The 17151-nt window shown below is 43.3% G+C and overlaps 3 protein-coding genes across 30 annotated transcripts in view, besides 5 other annotated features; 2 read left to right on the top strand and 1 right to left on the bottom strand.

Annotated features, from left to right (window-relative positions):
- The window catches only part of DHX32 (DEAH-box helicase 32 (putative)), a 60149-nt gene extending 57508 nt beyond the window's left edge, over window positions 1-2641 (top strand). For all 5 annotated transcript variants that reach the window (XM_047425470.1, XM_047425468.1, XM_047425469.1 and 2 more), the window contains 2 exons: window positions 591-772; window positions 2123-2641. In XM_047425470.1, the coding sequence (XP_047281426.1) occupies window positions 591-772; window positions 2123-2291 (351 nt within the window). In that variant the 3' untranslated portion in view covers window positions 2292-2641. The remainder of the gene's footprint in view (window positions 1-590; window positions 773-2122) is intronic.
- BCCIP (BRCA2 and CDKN1A interacting protein) overlaps window positions 1-15432 on the bottom strand; it is a 30150-nt gene extending 14718 nt beyond the window's left edge. For 2 of the 3 annotated variants that reach the window (NM_016567.4, NM_078469.3), the window contains exons 1-6: window positions 15256-15432; window positions 12313-12387; window positions 11340-11420; window positions 8327-8416; window positions 7371-7558; window positions 5032-5206 (exon numbers count right to left, since the gene is read on the bottom strand). In NM_016567.4, the coding sequence (NP_057651.1) occupies window positions 5032-5206; window positions 7371-7558; window positions 8327-8416; window positions 11340-11420; window positions 12313-12387; window positions 15256-15420 (774 nt within the window). In that variant the 5' untranslated portion in view covers window positions 15421-15432. Of the gene's footprint in view, window positions 1-2426; window positions 2875-5031; window positions 5207-7370; window positions 7559-8326; window positions 8417-11339; window positions 11421-12312; window positions 12388-15255 lie in introns of those variants that run through there. The other variant, NM_078468.3, reaches the window with a different exon arrangement.
- Window positions 14668-14887: a silencer, noted in NCBI's record as "fragment chr10:127512660-127512879 (GRCh37/hg19 assembly coordinates)". NCBI's record gives its function as "represses an EF-1alpha promoter that drives an FKBP-Casp9 reporter gene in an ReSE screen in K562 erythroleukemia cells {active_cell/tissue: K562}" and the evidence as "EXISTENCE:reporter gene assay evidence [ECO:0000049][PMID:32094911]".
- Window positions 15107-15792: an enhancer, noted in NCBI's record as "H3K27ac hESC enhancer chr10:127511755-127512440 (GRCh37/hg19 assembly coordinates)". NCBI's record gives its function as "activates a minimal SCP1, AML or CMV promoter by ChIP-STARR-seq in primed H9 embryonic stem cells {active_cell/tissue: H9 hESC(primed)}" and the evidence as "EXISTENCE:reporter gene assay evidence [ECO:0000049][PMID:30033119]".
- Window positions 15107-16073: a biological region, named in NCBI's record as "H3K27ac hESC enhancer GRCh37_chr10:127511755-127512440".
- Window positions 15364-15563: an enhancer, noted in NCBI's record as "active region_4195". NCBI's record gives its function as "activates an Ori minimal core promoter by ATAC-STARR-seq in GM12878 lymphoblastoid cells {active_cell/tissue: GM12878}" and the evidence as "EXISTENCE:reporter gene assay evidence [ECO:0000049][PMID:35858748]".
- Window positions 15644-16073: a silencer, noted in NCBI's record as "silent region_2925". NCBI's record gives its function as "represses an Ori minimal core promoter by ATAC-STARR-seq in GM12878 lymphoblastoid cells {active_cell/tissue: GM12878}" and the evidence as "EXISTENCE:reporter gene assay evidence [ECO:0000049][PMID:35858748]".
- UROS (uroporphyrinogen III synthase) overlaps window positions 15720-17151 on the top strand; it is a 38279-nt gene continuing 36847 nt past the window's right edge. For 17 of the 22 annotated variants that reach the window (NR_136677.2, NR_136678.2, NR_136675.2 and 14 more), the window contains exon 1: window positions 15720-15949. The gene's annotated coding sequence lies outside the window, so the exon portion shown is untranslated. The remainder of the gene's footprint in view (window positions 15950-17151) is intronic. The other 5 variants (XM_047425708.1, XM_024448154.2, XM_017016611.3 and 2 more) reach the window with 1 other exon arrangement.

The following is a 17151-nucleotide window of genomic DNA, read 5'->3' as shown; positions in this document are numbered from 1 at the left end:
AGCATAGGCTCTGCTGAATTGCACATACTCAGGATATGCTGCCAACAATGGCTTAGGATGATGATTTTGACATTAAGTAAAACTAAAAATCCATGTTATTATTAAAGATTTGGTACTTAAGTATCCTTCCCCTCAAGGGAATAAAGGGCCAAGGCAGAATATGTAGTCTTAATGGAGAAAAATGACATATCATTATGGATTTCCTCATCTGTAAAGTAAGGTTCCTACATCACAGGGTCATTGCGTGCTACACACCAAGTGTAAAGCACTTGGCATTGGAGTGTATGTCGCCCATAGTATGGTGGGTAGCGTGCTAAGTTTCATCTCATGGCCAAAACATTAACCTCACAGCTGCACTGTTTTAGCAGTGCCCTGCTGTTGCTGAAGTTAGTTAACATCACTGTCTCAAAGTTTTAGGCAAAACATGCTTATGGCTTATTTTCTACATGTGAAAGTAGGAAACATGAGTGGCAAACGTTAGTTTTAACTATCCCGTATAAAATACTTTGGTATTTTTTTCAACAAACATCTTTGTATAATGATCTCCATATTAATACAAAATCTTTTTTCTTTAAAATTCTGCCTTTCAGATTGCTCGGGATGTTGATGGATCAGGTAACTACTTAATGCTGACACATAAGCAGGTTGCTCAGCTGCATCCCCTGTCTGGTTACTCAATCACCAAGAAGATGCCAGAGTGGGTCCTCTTCCATAAATTCAGCATTTCTGAGAACAACTACATCAGGATTACCTCAGAAATCTCTCCTGAACTGTAAGTTTAATGGAGAAGAAAGGGTTGTATTTTTTTTTTAATTCATACCTGTAGGAGTAAATGACAAATTTGGCTTTTATTCTTAGTTCTAAAGTTTATACTGATGCAATCTTAATTTACGTTGACAGTACCTACTAAGGGCAGGCCTCTGTGGATGATACCTAAGAAATGTCCCTGCCTGTTAGATTACAGCATAGAAAAGACAGTGTAGAAATAAAAACAAAGACCATGTGTCTTTAAGAAGGACAGAATGCTAGAGAAATGCACTGTATACAGGTGCATTGACCTTGAGAGGAATGAGCTTAGCCATCTTTCAAGAGCCACTGCAGTTGGAGCTGTCGGGGAAGAGGAAGGAGGGAAGGCTGAAGAGAGAGGCAGGCACCAGAAGGTGTAAGGCTTTATGGGCCACATAGTTTATATTTTATCTAAGTGCAGTACACAGCAATTGGAGCATTTTAAGCAAGAGTAGCATCTTCTCGATATAGTTTTAAGGATCACTGTAGCTGGCCAGGCACCTTGGGAGGCCAAGGCAGGAGGAAGATGGCTTGAGCCCAAGAGTTCAAGACCAGCCCTGGCAACATAGCAAGACCCCGTCTCTACAAAATAAAAAAATTAGCCGGGTGTGGTGGCATGCGCCTATAGTCCCAGCTACTTGAGATTCTGCGACAGAGGATCGCTTGAGCCCAGGAGGTCAAGGCTGCAGTGAGGTACTGTCACACCACCGCACACCAGCCTGGGAGACAGACCAAGACGCTGTCTAAAAAGAAAAAAGGAAAAATAACTGTGGCTGCTACATGAATGGAAAGGAGGGGCAATGGCAAGAGTGAGACTACTCCACTAGTCTTTGAGAGGCCAGTACAGAGTCTGGATCCATTTTGAAGGTTCCACTACTATTCCAGCAAGTAGTGTTCAAGGCAGCAACCAAGAGTGACTCATAGATGTCTGGCTTACGCAGCTGGATGTGGAGTGGTACTAGTTAAAATAAGAAGCAAAGATACCCCCTCTCTCCCCTACCCAAAGCTCTCTTAAGCATACGATTGGTGCCTCTTATATGGTGATGGGCCTTAGGGGAAATACTAGTTTCCACTAAAGGTTAGTGGTAGACAGCACTTCCACTGTGTGGCATAACACTAGAGAGGCCAACTTATTCTAGAAATGCAACAGGATTGGCTGCATAAAAAACAGAAAGTATTTATTTTACAAAGTCGGACTGAGATACTATCTGAGTTCAAATTAAATACCGGTTCTACAGGTAGATTCTCCAGGGATGGGAAGTGCCCAGACATAATGTTTGGTGTCTCTCACCACCTTCCCCACTCATAATCTCATCTTTTTGTCTTAAATAAACAGATTTATGCAGCTGGTACCACAATACTATTTCAGTAATCTGCCTCCTAGTGAAAGTAAGGACATTCTACAGCAAGTAGTGGATCACCTATCCCCTGTGTCAACAATGAATAAGGAACAGCAAATGTGTGAGACGTGCCCTGAAACTGAACAGAGATGCACTCTCCAGTGACTCCCCAGCAAACACAAGGTGCAGCAGGGTCCCAAAGGTAGCTGGATGGCTGAACTGCTGGATATGGGAGATACATGACGCGAAGACGGATTTCACATCCACAGGACGGTCTTGAAGAAAATAACACTGTGTATATTATTTTAAAATAAAAAATAGAAGTTTTTATTGAGTTCTTTAAATTACTACTCCATGCTTTTCTTCTTCTTGGAAAAGTTTTTAAATCAACCACTCATAATTTGACCAAAATTTTAAAAAACTGGTATTTTGTAAATGTGTCAGAGACACATGGGACAGAACCCTACTTTTTGTAGAGGAACTTAATCTGAATAAAGTCTGAGTTTTTCAGTAAATCTCCACTGAGTTTTCTGGTAATTTTACAAAAACAAGCCCATCACTGTCCATTGGAAATGGGTTAGACAGATAGATATTCTTTCAGTTTATCCATGATTTCGTTCATCTTGTCGCCTGGAATTAACATCACAGTTCGCAAGGGCGTCATTGGTACGTCATCAAAAGACCATTTGCCTCCCAGACAAGTGTCGCTCTCCTCCTGCACTGAGTAGTTGAACTTGAGAATTGCCTTCTAAACCAAATAAGTAACCATGAATTAAAAATCGGGACAACCCAAAGACAAAACCCATTTGATCTACGGCAAAGAATATTACGTTTGGCATATGCTTAAATAAGAATGAGAGCTAAAAAAAAGCAAAACTCAGAATTGAAAAAGTTCAAATGGGACATTCAGGCAGAAGTTATAAAACACAAACCAAGTAGATTTTAAACCCACATGAGGAACAGGGATAGAGGTGTGCAATTTCTAAGAGGTGAACAAGCAGCTAAGTGGTATTTTCATTTAATTGTCAAAATAATCTTGTGAAACATAATGAAATTAAGACTTGTAAAATTTGATATTTAACAAGAACTTGTCTTCAAACACTCTTTTCTCACTTTCTCAGCTGCTTCCTTAGCATCAGGCTTTTGTGTGAAGACAGAGTAAATCTGCATACCCCGCCATCTTAAAACACCCATACACACTCCCCCCAAATGGTCAACCTGAGGTGTTGAAGCATATGGTTTTGTTTTTTTTGTTTGTTTGTTTTTTTTTTTTGAGACAGAGTCTCACTCTGTCACCCAGGCTGGAGTGCAGTGGCGTGATCTCGGCTCACCGCAAGCTCTGCCTCCCGGGTTCACACCATTCTCCTGCCTCAGCCTCCCAAGTAGCTGGGACTACCGGTGCCCACCATTGTGCCTGGCTAATTTTTTGTATTTTTAGTAAAGACAGCGTTTCATCGTGTTAGCCAGGATGGTCTGATCTCCTGACCTCGTGATCCGCCCGCCTTGGCCTCCCAAAGTGCTGGGATTACAGGCATGAGCCACCGCACCCGGCCTATGTTTTTTAAAAATTATGTTTACTATTTACTTCCTGGAAAAGAAGGGCACAGCTAAATTTGTAGCGCTTTAGTCTTCTGCAGAAGTCTTCAAAGTGATGTGATATCATCCAATTCAGGAAAATATGTTCCCCTCAGAGATACACTTCAAGATTTTTTTTTTTCTGAGACAGAGTCTCGCTCTGTCGCCCAGGCTGGAGTGCAGTGGCGCAATCTCGGCTCACTGCAAGCTCCGCCTCCCGGGTTTATGCCATTCTCCTGCCTCAGCCTCCCGAGTAGCTGGGACTACAGGCACGTGCCACCACGCCCGGCTAATTTTTTGTATTTTTTAGTAGAGACGGGGTTTCACCATGTTAGCCAGGATGGTCTCGATCTCCTGACCTCGTGATCCACCCGCCTTGACCTCCCAAAGTGCTGGGATTACAGGCGTGAGCCACCGTGCCTGGCTCAAGATGTTTTTGTGTTTTTTGTTTGTTTGTTTGTTTTTGAGACGGAGTTTCTTCCTTGTTGCTCAGGCTGGAGTGCAGTGGCGCGATCTCGGCTCACTGCAGCCTCTGCCTCCCAGGTTCAAGCAATTTTCCTGCCTTAGCCTTCCGAGTAGCTGGGATTACAGGCATCTGCCACCATGCCCGGCTAATTTTTTTTTTTTTGTATTTTTAGTAGAGATGGGGTTTCTCCCTGTTGGCCAGGCTGGTCTTGAATTTCTGGCCTCAGGTGATCTGCCCGCCTCAGCTTCCCAAGGTGCTGGGATTACAGGTGTGCACCACCGCACCTGGCCCACTTCAAGATTTTTCAGAGGAAGAGAGGGTAAGAATATTCTCTGGTATATGGCTGTCCATCACAGTACAAGCTACCTTTATAGGAAAAAAATGCTGGAGATATCCCACCAGCAGGATGACATCCACGACTAAGGACACAGAGCAGCAGGGGTGCCCCAGCTTCCACACTGACCAGCTGTGTGATCGCAGGTAATTTCCCTCATTTCCCTATGCCTTAAAGTCCACATCTGTAAACCCCAGGCTAATGTCTACCTCTCCGCATGGTTTTAGAATGAAAGATTTCACAGGAAGCATATTATAAATGCCTAATCATTCTTAACAGGTTAATCACTTTTCTCCTCCTCCTCCTCATGCTCATAACCACAGTGCAGGCAAGGAGGCTGGTGCCTAGCCTCCTGAGTACCTACTATGCACCTGGCACTATGTTAGCTGCTAGGTCCTGTGGGGAAACAGAAAAACAGAGTAGCCACACTTGAAAGACTTGGACCTAAAGTGGGAGAACAATAAATCTTGATAAATCATTTTCAAGAAAATCCTTATTTACATCTAAACAAATAAGCAGGATAGTCTTACCTCATAGAAAAATTCTTCCTCTGCATTTGCAAACATTAACGCAGCTTTCTTTTTGTTGCTAGGTTTCTTTTTGGAATTGTTTTTTCCTGCTTCCACAAATGTCTTACTAATCAGAAGGTAAAAGTAGCACTTCCCACATGGCTTATTGGTTCTGTGTGCCCCCGCCAGTTCTTTCCTGCAAGGCACACACACAACATTTGTTTACCTGCTGGGTCAAGTGAAATCCATCAACAAACCAGAGCACAGAAAACCCGGTGAGGCATCTTCAGTGGGTTCTGCTGTGACGCAGGCATTCAATCTGAACACTTAGTCTACAGGAATGATTTTTATTTACATAATCAGTTGCATTTTAGATTATGTATTACTTTTTATAATACTATGATATATCTCTCAGATTATGCTGATTTGTGGATATATAGCAACTAACAGATCAGATGAGTCTCAAATTCACTCAATGTATCACTGCTCTGCCTGTGCATAAGTTAAAAATATATACGAATCTGAATTTTTGAATTTTTTAAAGCAATGAACATTTAACTGAAACACACAAAGGTATACAGCCACAACCAATGTCACTACAGCCTGTGACTACTACCACAGTCTCTAATTGCTAGAGTCTGGAACTAATTTCTGACATACTGCAGAAACTGCATAAACACACAACCTAAATTCTAGCAATGGAATCGCAACAAAGCCTTAATGTTTCTTCTTTCTGAAAATTAAACATAGCCTTGTGCATCTGGATGCCCTTGAACAAAAGAAGAAACTCAGAACAACCGTCCTCTTCAGCTTTCCTTTTTTTTTTTTTTCTTTTTTTCGTTTGGAGACAAAATCTCACTCTGTTGCCCAGGCTGTAGAGTACAATGGCACAATCTCGGCTCACTGCAACCTCTGCCTGCCAGGTTCACACGATTTTCGTGCCTAAGCCTCCTGAGTAGCTGGGATTACAGGTCTGCACCACCATACCCGGCTAATTTTTTGTGGGTGTATTTTTAGTAGAATTGGGGTTTCGCCATGTTGGCCAGGCTGGTCTCAAACTCCTAGCCTCAAGTGATCTGCCAGCTTCGGCCTCCCAAAGTGTTGGAATTACAAGTGTCAGCCACCACACCTGGCCTTTTCAAAAAAAAAAAAAGAAAAAAAAAAAGATAGGGTCTTGTAATTTTGCCCAGGCTGGCGTGCAGTGGCTATTCACAGGCACAATCATAGTATATTGCAGCCTGGAACTCCTGGCCTCAAGCATTCCCCCTGCCTCAGCCTCCTGAGTAGCTGCGACTACAGGCGTGCACCACTGCGCTTGGCTCACTTCAGCTTTAACAGGACTAGGAGAAAGCAAATCACCCTCCTATAAAACCAAATAAATGTGAGCTCCAGCTGATCAGAAAAAAAGAAAACCAAAAAAAAACAAAAACCACTTAAGGCACCAGAAGCACAATCTGAGCTACAGCTGAGAGAGCAGGGAGCAGGAGATAAGAAGCATCGAATCCCTAGGAAAAAACAGCAAACGTAAAGGTTTCCAGAGTAGAGTTGCATTCCTACAGCTATTTAAAGGAAAACCACAACGCAAGGGCTATGACCTCTGAGAAAGAATATTCTATAAAGAACCTGTCTAGGTCAAGTGCTGTGACTGACACCTGTAATCCCAACACTGGGAGGCCGAGGCAGGAAGATCACTTTAGCCTAGGAGTTCAAGACCAGCCTGGGCAATGTAGCAAGACCCTGTCTCTACCAAAAAAAAAAAAAAATTTAAATTAGATAGAAATAAATAAGAGAATCTGCCTATATTTTGTCCTCTGTTGCAAAGCACAGACAATACAATTCTTAGTACACTCAGTTTGCTAGATTTCACAGCTACATTTGAAATATTTTTGTAAACTTAAAACTTCTGGATTAAAAAATAGAATAACAAAAACCCTGAAAAGCTAGCCACAGTATCAGGACTATGGTTTCATTTGTTATGAAACATACCAATAGAATTTGGGAACTTTACCAGTTTTGTTATTGTTGTAATTGTTCATTATTTTATTCATGTTGCAGAAAGCTATCTGTGAAGGTGAAAAACTTCAATCAAATGGGGATGCAAAGTCTATATGAAATTATCTACTTATATATCACTTAAATCTTAAGTTAAAATTTCATGATTATTGTCACAAACTCTTCAAAAAGCCAGTTGTTAATAATGTATGTACTTCACAGGATGTTTCTTCCACTCCCCTCACACTAAACCCACTTAAACCAAGGACAGAACTCTTTCTATATCTACATATTCTACTTAAATGACATTTAGGAATCTATTTGAAAAAAAAATTACTGTTCAAAGATATTTTCCCAGAATCTCTTACTGAAGCTGCTGGTACATGGGCAGAGCGATCTGTGGAGGGACATTAATGAATCTTTCACTTAGGAGAAGGCCCACAGGCTTGGTGGTGTCATTTAAAAACTTGTCCAGCTGTTCAACCATGCTCTTTTCACAGTTCTTCTCACAGAAGCGTAGAACCAACTCTTGAATTTGTTCAACACACTGGGTACCCTAGAAAGCAAAGAGAAAGCTTGTTTCCTATTACAAGCCATCACATAGAGGACAAAACCTGAGAGTAAAAGCTATCACTTTTCATCTTACAGCTAAGGGCAGTTTCCTGCCATAGCCTTAACGTCTTGTATGTCTTCAGTGTTGACTGCTTAAGCATTTCTCAAAAGTAAATACACTGGTTATTTACCATCCCATGATGAGTGGTAAGAGAGTCATAATTAACATTCAGACACACTGGAATGGCAACTCTAGTCCATCTCATAAAGATAGATGGAAGTAACTGGACAGTTTATTTCAAAATTAAAGACTAAGTGTAGCCTGCATCTTATTCTGAGGTGGGTAAGCAGCTGGTTTACTTTTTATTACAACTCATCAGAGAATCAATAAAAAGAGATGAATCGAAACAAAATAAAATGTCAGTAAATGCCCTCAACATTGAGGCAGCAAAGCCTGAGAATATCCCCACTACACAAGTAGCAAAGATAACAGCTGCAGAGAGACAGCACAAACAGCTCCTGCATCAGTACCAACATCAGGACTGCAAAGCCAGATGATTCCCTAAACCACAGGGAGTAAACAACTTTAACTGGGTACAGACCCAACACCACCACCTTCATATTGAAAAAGGATTACAATAAGATTTCACAAGAGCACTTATCCCTATAGTTAATATCACTGTTTAACATAAAAGACATTTTCACCATGCATTAAATAAAAGTGGTTTTGGCCTAAGAAATAACCATTCAGATGCCATCCAGTGAAACCAACCTTTCTTTCAGTTAAATTTAAAAGGCTTATGAAACCAAAAACCTCATCTTCATCCATATCATCATTGCTGTCTTCTGAAACATCCGTTTGCTATTTTAAAAGAAAAAATATTTAAATGTTATATTTAGTATAATACCAAGAGTATAAAACCAAGTCTTGGGATGTAGGCCTCATTTATCTTTTCACTTTTCAAAAGCAAAACTTTGTTTTACCACCGCCATCTTAGAAAGCATTGTATTTTAAATACTGTCACAGTTTTACCACCATCATCTTGGAAAGCATTGTATCTTAAATACTGTGTGACCTTGTTCATTTCGCTTTACCTCGACTCTGTTCCTCTTTTCAGATTCTGAACAGATTGAAATTTCTTTGTACCAGATTAAGTCATTTTCTTTTATCAGATTCTCAATATAATACAAATCCAGAAGAGATAAACCTCATGAAATAAAGCATTTTCATTTGTTTTCTACACAATTAGGCTGGAGCCAAGCCTTGCTTCTCTGCTGGCCCACAGCATTGTTTCATCTAAAACTCATGAGTTTCCAGAACACTTGTCAGTCTTGACCATTAGTGAAGCTAGGCAATGCTTGAGGGCCACTTACACCTATCACATTAGCAAGAGAGAAGGGGAAAAAAGAGAACCCCCTGCCCTTTGTTCTATGATCCTAGGGACTGGCTCCACCGAACACTATGGGTAGTCCCTTTACTAAGAACAAGAAGTCTCTATCCTCAGGACACCTCAAGTGTCTCTGGAGAATCCCAAGAAGCCACAGTTACAACTGCAGAGCTATTGATGTGATTATCCATTTAAAGAGTGAATCCTGCCATTAGATAATAACCTCTTTCAAGGATAAAAATAACTGCTTCTCCTCCATATCCATTAGGTCTTCTAAGACACGAATCAGCTAGAGATCACATTTATTTGATGAAAGGGCAGGTGGTCTGCTTTTTCCCATTGCCCTAATAAAAGGAATGCCCCATAGGTTTAATTTCTCATTTTCTTTACATTGAGTGCCATAAAGTTACTAATATTGTCAGAAGCCTTGAAAAGTGTACACTGTATTTAGTAACAAGTATGTTGGTGACCCTATCACTCAGTGTCCGAATTTTAGTGGTGTAAAAGTCAGATAAGAGTGTCTGAAGAATGAATAGGAGGACAGGAAGTAGAAACCATGACTTAAGATTACTTTTCAAGAATTTTGGCTCTGAAGGTGATGTACTTAAGAGTGGAACATTAGACTGAATGGAGCTTTTGTTTGTTGTGTTTTTCACAACAGGCTAGGGAACAGGTGCTAGGAACAGGAAAAAGACATCAACAGTGACAGCTACACATATGTAGCACATGTCAGCTGCCAGACACTGTTTTAAGCAGTCAGCAATTCATTTTGTTTACCCATGCACTCTACAAGATCGGTGCTAGTACCATCCTCATTTTCAGAGACAGAAATGGAAACAGATTAAGGTACTGTGGCAGACTGTATCTTTCACAGATGGCCCCAATGGATCTCTCCTTGGACATGCTCTTCTGACAAAGTGACCTAGGTACTTTTCTCATGGAGTGGTGGGATCAATGTGCCCTCCCCCTAGATAGAAATTTCTATCTGTAAAGACTAAGCAAATGGTGGAAATGGCACTATATCACTTCTGCCTGCTTCTTTTGGGCAGCTTGCTCTTGGAAGCAAACCAATGTGTGACGAGGCCCACATGGAGAAGAACTAAGGCCCCTGGTCCAGAGTCCCAGCTAAGCTCCCGACAGACAGCTAGGGCTAACTTGCCAGTCATGTGAGTGAGCCATCTTGAAAGGGAATCCTCCAGCCCCTAGTCAAGCCACCCCAGCTAACATGATGGAGCAGGAGCACAGATGAGTTGTGCCCACTGAGCTCTGTCCAAACTGTAGATCCATTAGCCAAATAAATGACTACTGCTATTTTACGACACTAAGCTATGGGGTGGTTTGTTATACAAACAACAGATAACCCAAAGAACCACCAGATGATAAGCAGCAGACCCAGGGTCTAAACCAGTCCTTATTTTGTTGAGCTCTCTACAACATCTATCTGATAAAGATGACCATCCCCTCCTCCTTCAAATGTTATCTTTCTTGCTGTGTATGACATCACTGCACTATTGTTTCTTCTACTTCTCCTGTCATCCCTTTTAATCTCCTTTGCTGGCTCTGCCACTTATATTACTCATCGAAGTATTCTTGGTATTACTAAGGTGTCTGTCCCTTCCCTCCCTGCGCAATCTCAATCACTTCTACGACCTCAGTAACATTTACGACCAACTCCCAAGTCTCCAGGGCTCCACCTGCTACCCGGTATCTCACAGGTAACTCAAACTCAAAATGTACAAATCCAAATTCACATTCCCCCTCCTAATTTGACCTTCCTCCATGTTTGTTATCCTGTTTGCTCAAGCTAGAAACCTGGAAGTCATCCTTGACTCCTTTTCCTCTCACTTTCAGACCCAATCAGGGACTAAACCTCATCATATTTCATCTCCCAAATATTTTCTAAATGAGCCCACTTCTCTCCCTCTCCATTGCCCCCACCTGGACTACTGCATTTAATAAGCTTGGATTTCTGCAATGACTTCTGATCAGTCTCCATTCCTCCAGTAATACTGCTTCCAATTTGAGCTAAACAGAATAAAGAACTTTTTTTTTTTTTTTTTTTTTTTTTCAGATATAGGGTCTTGCTGTGTTGCCCGGCTAGAGTGCAGCGGCACAAAGCTCACCATGGCCTTCAACTTCTTGGCTCAAGAGATCCTCCTACCTCAGCCACCTGGGTAAAAAGACTACAGGCATGTGCTACTATGCCCGGCTAATTTTTTGTTATTTTTTGTAGAGACAGAGTATTGCTATATTGCCCAGGATGGTCTTGAACTCCTGGCCTCAAGCAATCCTCCCACCTTTGCTTCCCAAAGTGCTGGGATTACAAGCATGGTGAGGCCCAGCATGAACAGAATAAAGAACTCATTTAATCAGAATAAACACAATTATCCTACTTACCTTAATCACACTCCCAATATGGTTCTGTTGAATTAAGAGATCTGTTAGTTCTGCAGTGTTCACAGGAGCCTTTAGAAAAAGCTAAAAGGAGGAAAAAATTATTTTAAATTAAGATCAAAGCATGATTTCTAATAACTTCAAATCCTATATTCAAATACAAACAATGAAATTTCTGTGACTTAAGATGATGATCTAGAAAAGCAACCCCAAGAGGGAAAGAAAAGCCCAGGAGAGTCAAAGAAGCTAAAGATTAGGAAATTTCAGAAAAGAAGAAGTCAGTAGTAATATAGAAGTAATGGGGGAGGGGGAGAAAAAAGGGAGAAACGAGAGAGGATAAACTTAAGGCCAAAGAATTTGGTGAAAAAGACGGTAGAGCTATAAAGGCTAAAGAACCAAAGTCATATTATATGAGTAAAAGAATAAGGAGAAGCAGCAAGCATCAATTTTATAGCACCAAACAGCACAGTTATATGACTGTTACATAAGAATTGTGAATTAAAAAAAAAAACAAAATAACTCTAATTAGCAGATGAAAGGAAATAATTCTTCCTTCCAGGCAAGGTGGAGAGGATAGAAATGGAAATTCTAAAAAGATGAACTTGGGAGAGCCTGTATTGAATGACCTGAATTTTCTTTTTTTTTAGAGACAGAGGCTCACTCTGTTGCCCAGACTGGAGCTCAATGGCACATTCATAGCTGCAGCCTTGAGCTCTTAGACTCAAGTAATCCTCCAGCCTCAGCCTCCTGAGGAGTTAGGACTAACGGTGTGTGCTACCACAGTTGGCTAATTTTTAATTTTTTTGTAGAGACAGGTTCTCATTATGTTGCCCAGGCTGGTCTCAAACTCCTGGGCTCAAGCAATCCTCTCACCTCGGCCTTCCAAAATGCTGAGATTATAGGCATGAACCACTGCACCCGGCCCCTGATTTTTCTTAGAAGAGGAAATTTATGCATAATAAATAAAAGACAATACCTGCTGCAGTAATTTCTTAATTCCGTCATAATCATTATCTGATAGGGAATAAGCTTCAAATTCAATATTCACTTCCTGTAAATAACACACAAAATAGTTGTTACCAGAAAAACTACAAACATCTAGACTTTAAAACAGGCAAACATTGCCAAGATTGCCATCTGTGAAGAATACAAAGCACCTTCACACTATTTCTTCAGGTGACACAAAAGCCTGAGAAAACAAAACACTCAGAGTAACCTAGTTTAAATGTTGAGAAAGTCCAGTTCAAATAAACCAGACACGGCAGCCACAAAGGATAAATTATTTTCCTGATTACAAGGGTGGGCAAAAATCAAAATCACTTCAAAAGTCCCTGGAATTGCCTAGAGCTTGACTTAGCCCATGGATTTGAGGTTACACTACATTTGCTTAGCAAATATTTATTAAGTATCAATCCAGGTACCAAGCACTGTGCCAGGCACTCAAGATGAAAAGGTTAGTAAGGCAGACACAAATGATCCTGCTCTCGTGCAGCTTACGATTTAGGAAGGAATATAGGCATTAAGGAAATATTCATAGAAATAAATGTAAGTGCTATAAAACAAAGGTACACAATGTTGTAACAACTTAAAAAATAAGAAGTCAGTCAGGAAAGCCTTCCTTGAAGTGACATTTGAGCAAGAAACCGAGAAACAGCAAAGAGAGTTCCTGGTACAGGGAACAGCACAAACTAAGGCCCTAAGGCAGAAGGAAATACAATGAGTACAAGGGACTAGAAGAATGAATGTGTAGCTGGGCTCCCTGATCTCTATCTGCAAGACAACAGAATCTAGAAGATGGAACTAAAATGCCAAAAACAAAACCTAGTTGCTTTTAAACACTAACAAGATTAGTCCTTGAGGACCCTAAATCAGACCTTGATAAGTGACACAATGAACCTGGGGCTCTGATGAAATAATATATTTAAAGGCACTTCAGGTTTTAACGGTTTCAGAATTTAGGTCTTAGCTGAAGAACATCGCAGAGGAAATCAGACCTCCTTTTACCTTGCCACCCTGACTATGTATATATTTAAGTCTTCCTTAATTGTAAAATTGCAAGGCCCTGGAATTGCTTAGAGCAATTCCAGCTCCAATTTGAACTCTTTAAGTCCAGCTTTGCAGACTTCAAATGCTAACTTAGCCAGATTATGTGAGCAGCAAAACACAAGGGGTCGGGTGGGAGTGTTCCAAACAGGATCAAACTAAACCAAATAACAAACTGTCATTATTCAGGACTTAAACTTATTCCTTAGATATAAATACATTCTGTAAATAATGCTCATCTAGTGTTTTTTTCTTTGTCTAGACAGACATCTCGGACCTCTGTCCCAGACTATTATGGCACCACCAGGGAAATGGGCGGCAAATGGATTATCTGTCCAGCACCCTTTTCCTGGGTATGGGCTCATCTCCACATGGCTTCAGCAGGAACAGTCACGTTTGTAGAAAAGAGCCCTGTCCCTCATTCCCAGGTGATTTAGAATTAAGACTGTGGTGGTGTGATAGATTTCCCATGTTAACACAAGCAGCATTGATTTCTATAACCCAAAAGTAATAAAAGAGCCAGTCAAAGTTCTAAGTGAAAAATGGTGAGATGGCATTCAAGGCATAGAGCCAAAGTAAAATTTGTAAGGGAAGGAAGATTGATCACATACCCACACCATGGTGTCACCTCTAATCCTGCATCCATGCTTCTCTCCATGCTCCCCTCCATGCTCATCATGACTCATGATTACCTCTCTGATTTTATTTCCTATCACTCTCTCTTCCTTATTCTGATCCAGCCATCTAGGCTGCCTTTCCGTCCCTCAATTGTGAAGACTCTTGATTTTCTTGTAAATGAACTAGAAAGCCAATGCAGCAATCTAAGCAGAGGCCTGAGATCAGACCTATAAGATCTCTCTGACTGTAAGTGGAGTATAGACTGATTGTAGGGGAACAAAAATGGAGAAAAGAACGCCGGTTAAAAGCTGTTACATTAAATAGTAGTCCAGGCAAGAGATGATAGAGGTGTGGACTACGATGGTCTCAGAATTAGTGCTGAGAAATGTCTGGATAACAGGATTTACTGATGGGCTGGATATAGGATGAGGAAAGGGAGGAATTAAAGTTAAGCCCCAGGTTTTGGGTTAGAGCAGCTGGTGACTTTAGGGGCCATTTATAGAAATGGTGACGATTAAGAGAGGGGCATGAATTATTATACAAATTCTGCTTTGGACAAGTTAAGGCTGAGGTATCTATTTAAACATTCAGTAGGCTGAAGGATCATTCAGTCCTAATTGTTTACTAAACAAATAATAAGTACCTATATTGCCAGGCACTACGGTAGGACCTAGTCTGAAGAAAGGAACACAGTTCTATGAGACTATGAAACCAAAGATTTACCCACGACTTGGTCAGCTGCCCCAGGAGCCAGAAAATACAGCCTAGCTGAGATCTGAAGAAGGAAGGGAAAACTGCAGGATAAAGAAGAGCATTTGAAAAGGCTTCTACGGTAGAACGCGGCAAGAGCCTTCAAGAAACTGAGGGCCCAAGTGAGTGCCGCCCGCAGAGTGAAGAGGAGGACAGCTGCTGCCCCGAGGGGAGAGGGCCCCCTCTGCGAGCCCGGGGTGGCCGATTCAGGATCTGAGGCTTCAGCCTGAGAACTAAAGAGGACGAGAAGAACACACCTGTTGTGGCGGGCTTTTTCGGGGAGGACGCGGGTTGGGAGATTAACTGGACCGGACTAGACCTTTAAAAAATAACTACTATGGCTGCAGTGTGTTAAAGACCGAGGAGAAACCTGAGAAAGAACTTATCTCCAGTTTCTCCTCACAGACCCTCAGGGTCAGGGAAGACCCTACACTATTTTTACACAGCCTGGGCTTGCCAAAAAGTTTTTCTCAGGTATAAACCAACTAGGGGAGCGTGTCCTTCTCACCTCGTCAATGACCTCGTCCTCTTCATCCTTTTCCTTGTCACTGTCATCATCGTCTTCATCCTCATTTTCGACTTCTTTTTCCTCTTCCTCGTCGCGCTGGACTGGGGGATCCGGCGGCTGCGGAACCCCACTTTCCACGGCACGCCGCTTAGACCTGGACGCCATGTTGCCGCTCACACTGCGCCTGCGCAGCTTCCCCTTGCCTGACCTTCCGGACCAGCCCATAGTAGCCAAGGGGGTGAGGAACTACGAAGAAGCTCGGCGCTGAGTGCACGTCAACCCCAATGCCCCTGCTGGATTCCGCAGCCATGACCCCTTACAGTCACGTCCAGCTTGCGGTCCCATCTTGCTTTTTTCTTCCGCTTTCCACCCTCCATCACTCCTCCCAAAGCTTCCCCTCCCCTTCCCGTAGTGGTTCAACCCATCTAACCTCTGGCCTCATTCCGTGGCCTGGATGGCGGTGCGCATGCGCGAGCGCCTAGCTGCGCGCAGCCACCCACGCGACCCCAGTCTGAGGTGCGGGGTCCTGGGGCCCGGCGCGGGTGGCCGCCGCGGCCCCTCGGGCTGCGTGGGGAGGGGGCTTCCGCCCCTGTTGTCATTGCTCCTGCAGCCTTTTCGCTGGGACTGCGCGACACCGCCCCCCGACCGGGTGCCCGCTGTGTGCCAGGCCGGGTGCTGGGCACGGTCCCGCGAGGTAGGTGTCGCCGCCCGCTGTACCGGTACGGACGCCGAAGCCCGCGGGCGTGCAGGGGCCCGGCCCCGGGCGGTGTGTGACACAGTGGGGCCAGGGCCCCGAGGCTTCCGCGGACCTGGGCCTGCCCAGGCGGGGATGTCCGCTGCCGCTACCGCTGCGCCGGTGACGGAAGGCGCCTGCCCAGCCTACCCTCGCCGAGCTTCTGGAGCGCATTTCTTGACCTAAAAGTTTTTTTAAAGCCGGCACCGCAGTTAAAAATGCTTCGGCGGGGGGCCGGGCCCGGTGTCTCGCGCCTGTAATCCCAGCACTTAGGGAGGTCAAAGCGGGTGGATCACCAGAGGTCAGGAGTTCGAGACCAGCCTGGCCAACATGGCAAAACCTCATCTCTGCTAAAAGTACAAAAATTAGCCGGGCGTGGTGGCGGACACCTGTAATCCCAGCACTTTGGGAGGCCGAGATGGGTGGATCACTTGAGGTCAGGAGTTCGAGACCAGCCTGCCCAACATGGCGAAATCCCATCTCTACTAAAAATACAAAAACTAGCCAGGTGTGGTGGTGCGCGCCTGTAGTCCCAGCTACTCAGGAGGCTAAGGCAGGAGAATCGCATGCCCCCAGGAGACGGAGGTTGCAGTGAGCCGAGATCGCGCCACCGCACTCCACACTCCAGCCTGGGCGACAGAGGTAGACCCTATCTAAAAAAAAAAAAAAATGCTTCGGGGCCAGTGGGGTAGTCTAGGTTAAAGACCCGAGCCTATTTGGAGAGAAGAGTGGAGGGGACTGCGGCCAACTGCAGAGCGAGCGCCAGCCCCTGTGGCAGGTGGGGATGCAGCCTGGGGCAGCCAGGTCTTCCCATTGCGAGAGAAACAGGGTTCATCAGCTTTCTAGGAATAAGATCTGCGGTTCTCAATTGATTTTTCTCTGTAAAATGAGGGGGGTGGGTTGGATATGTTTGATTCTAGGAATGGTGTGAGCTGCGCTAATAGGCTGCTTCTGTTTAAGCAGGGTAACATCTGATAAATCAGTGATCCTTCATCAGTACGAGATGGCGTGCCCTAAAGGTCCCCAGGAGCCCAGATTGCCCATAATCGTGTTCTGTGATTTCGGTCTTTCCTGGGAGTCTCTTGTCTACCCAGCCATGTCATGGATATTAAAGTAATACTTACACATCAGCGCTCCACATCTGATGGGGCAGCTTGAAATGG

The sequence above is a fragment of the Homo sapiens genome, chromosome 10 (assembly GCF_000001405.40).
Source record: "Homo sapiens chromosome 10, GRCh38.p14 Primary Assembly".
NCBI classification, from domain to species: Eukaryota; Metazoa; Chordata; class Mammalia; order Primates; family Hominidae; genus Homo; species Homo sapiens.
Note: the sequence above shows the minus strand (reverse complement) of the source record. Positions and strands in the feature narration are given on the sequence as shown.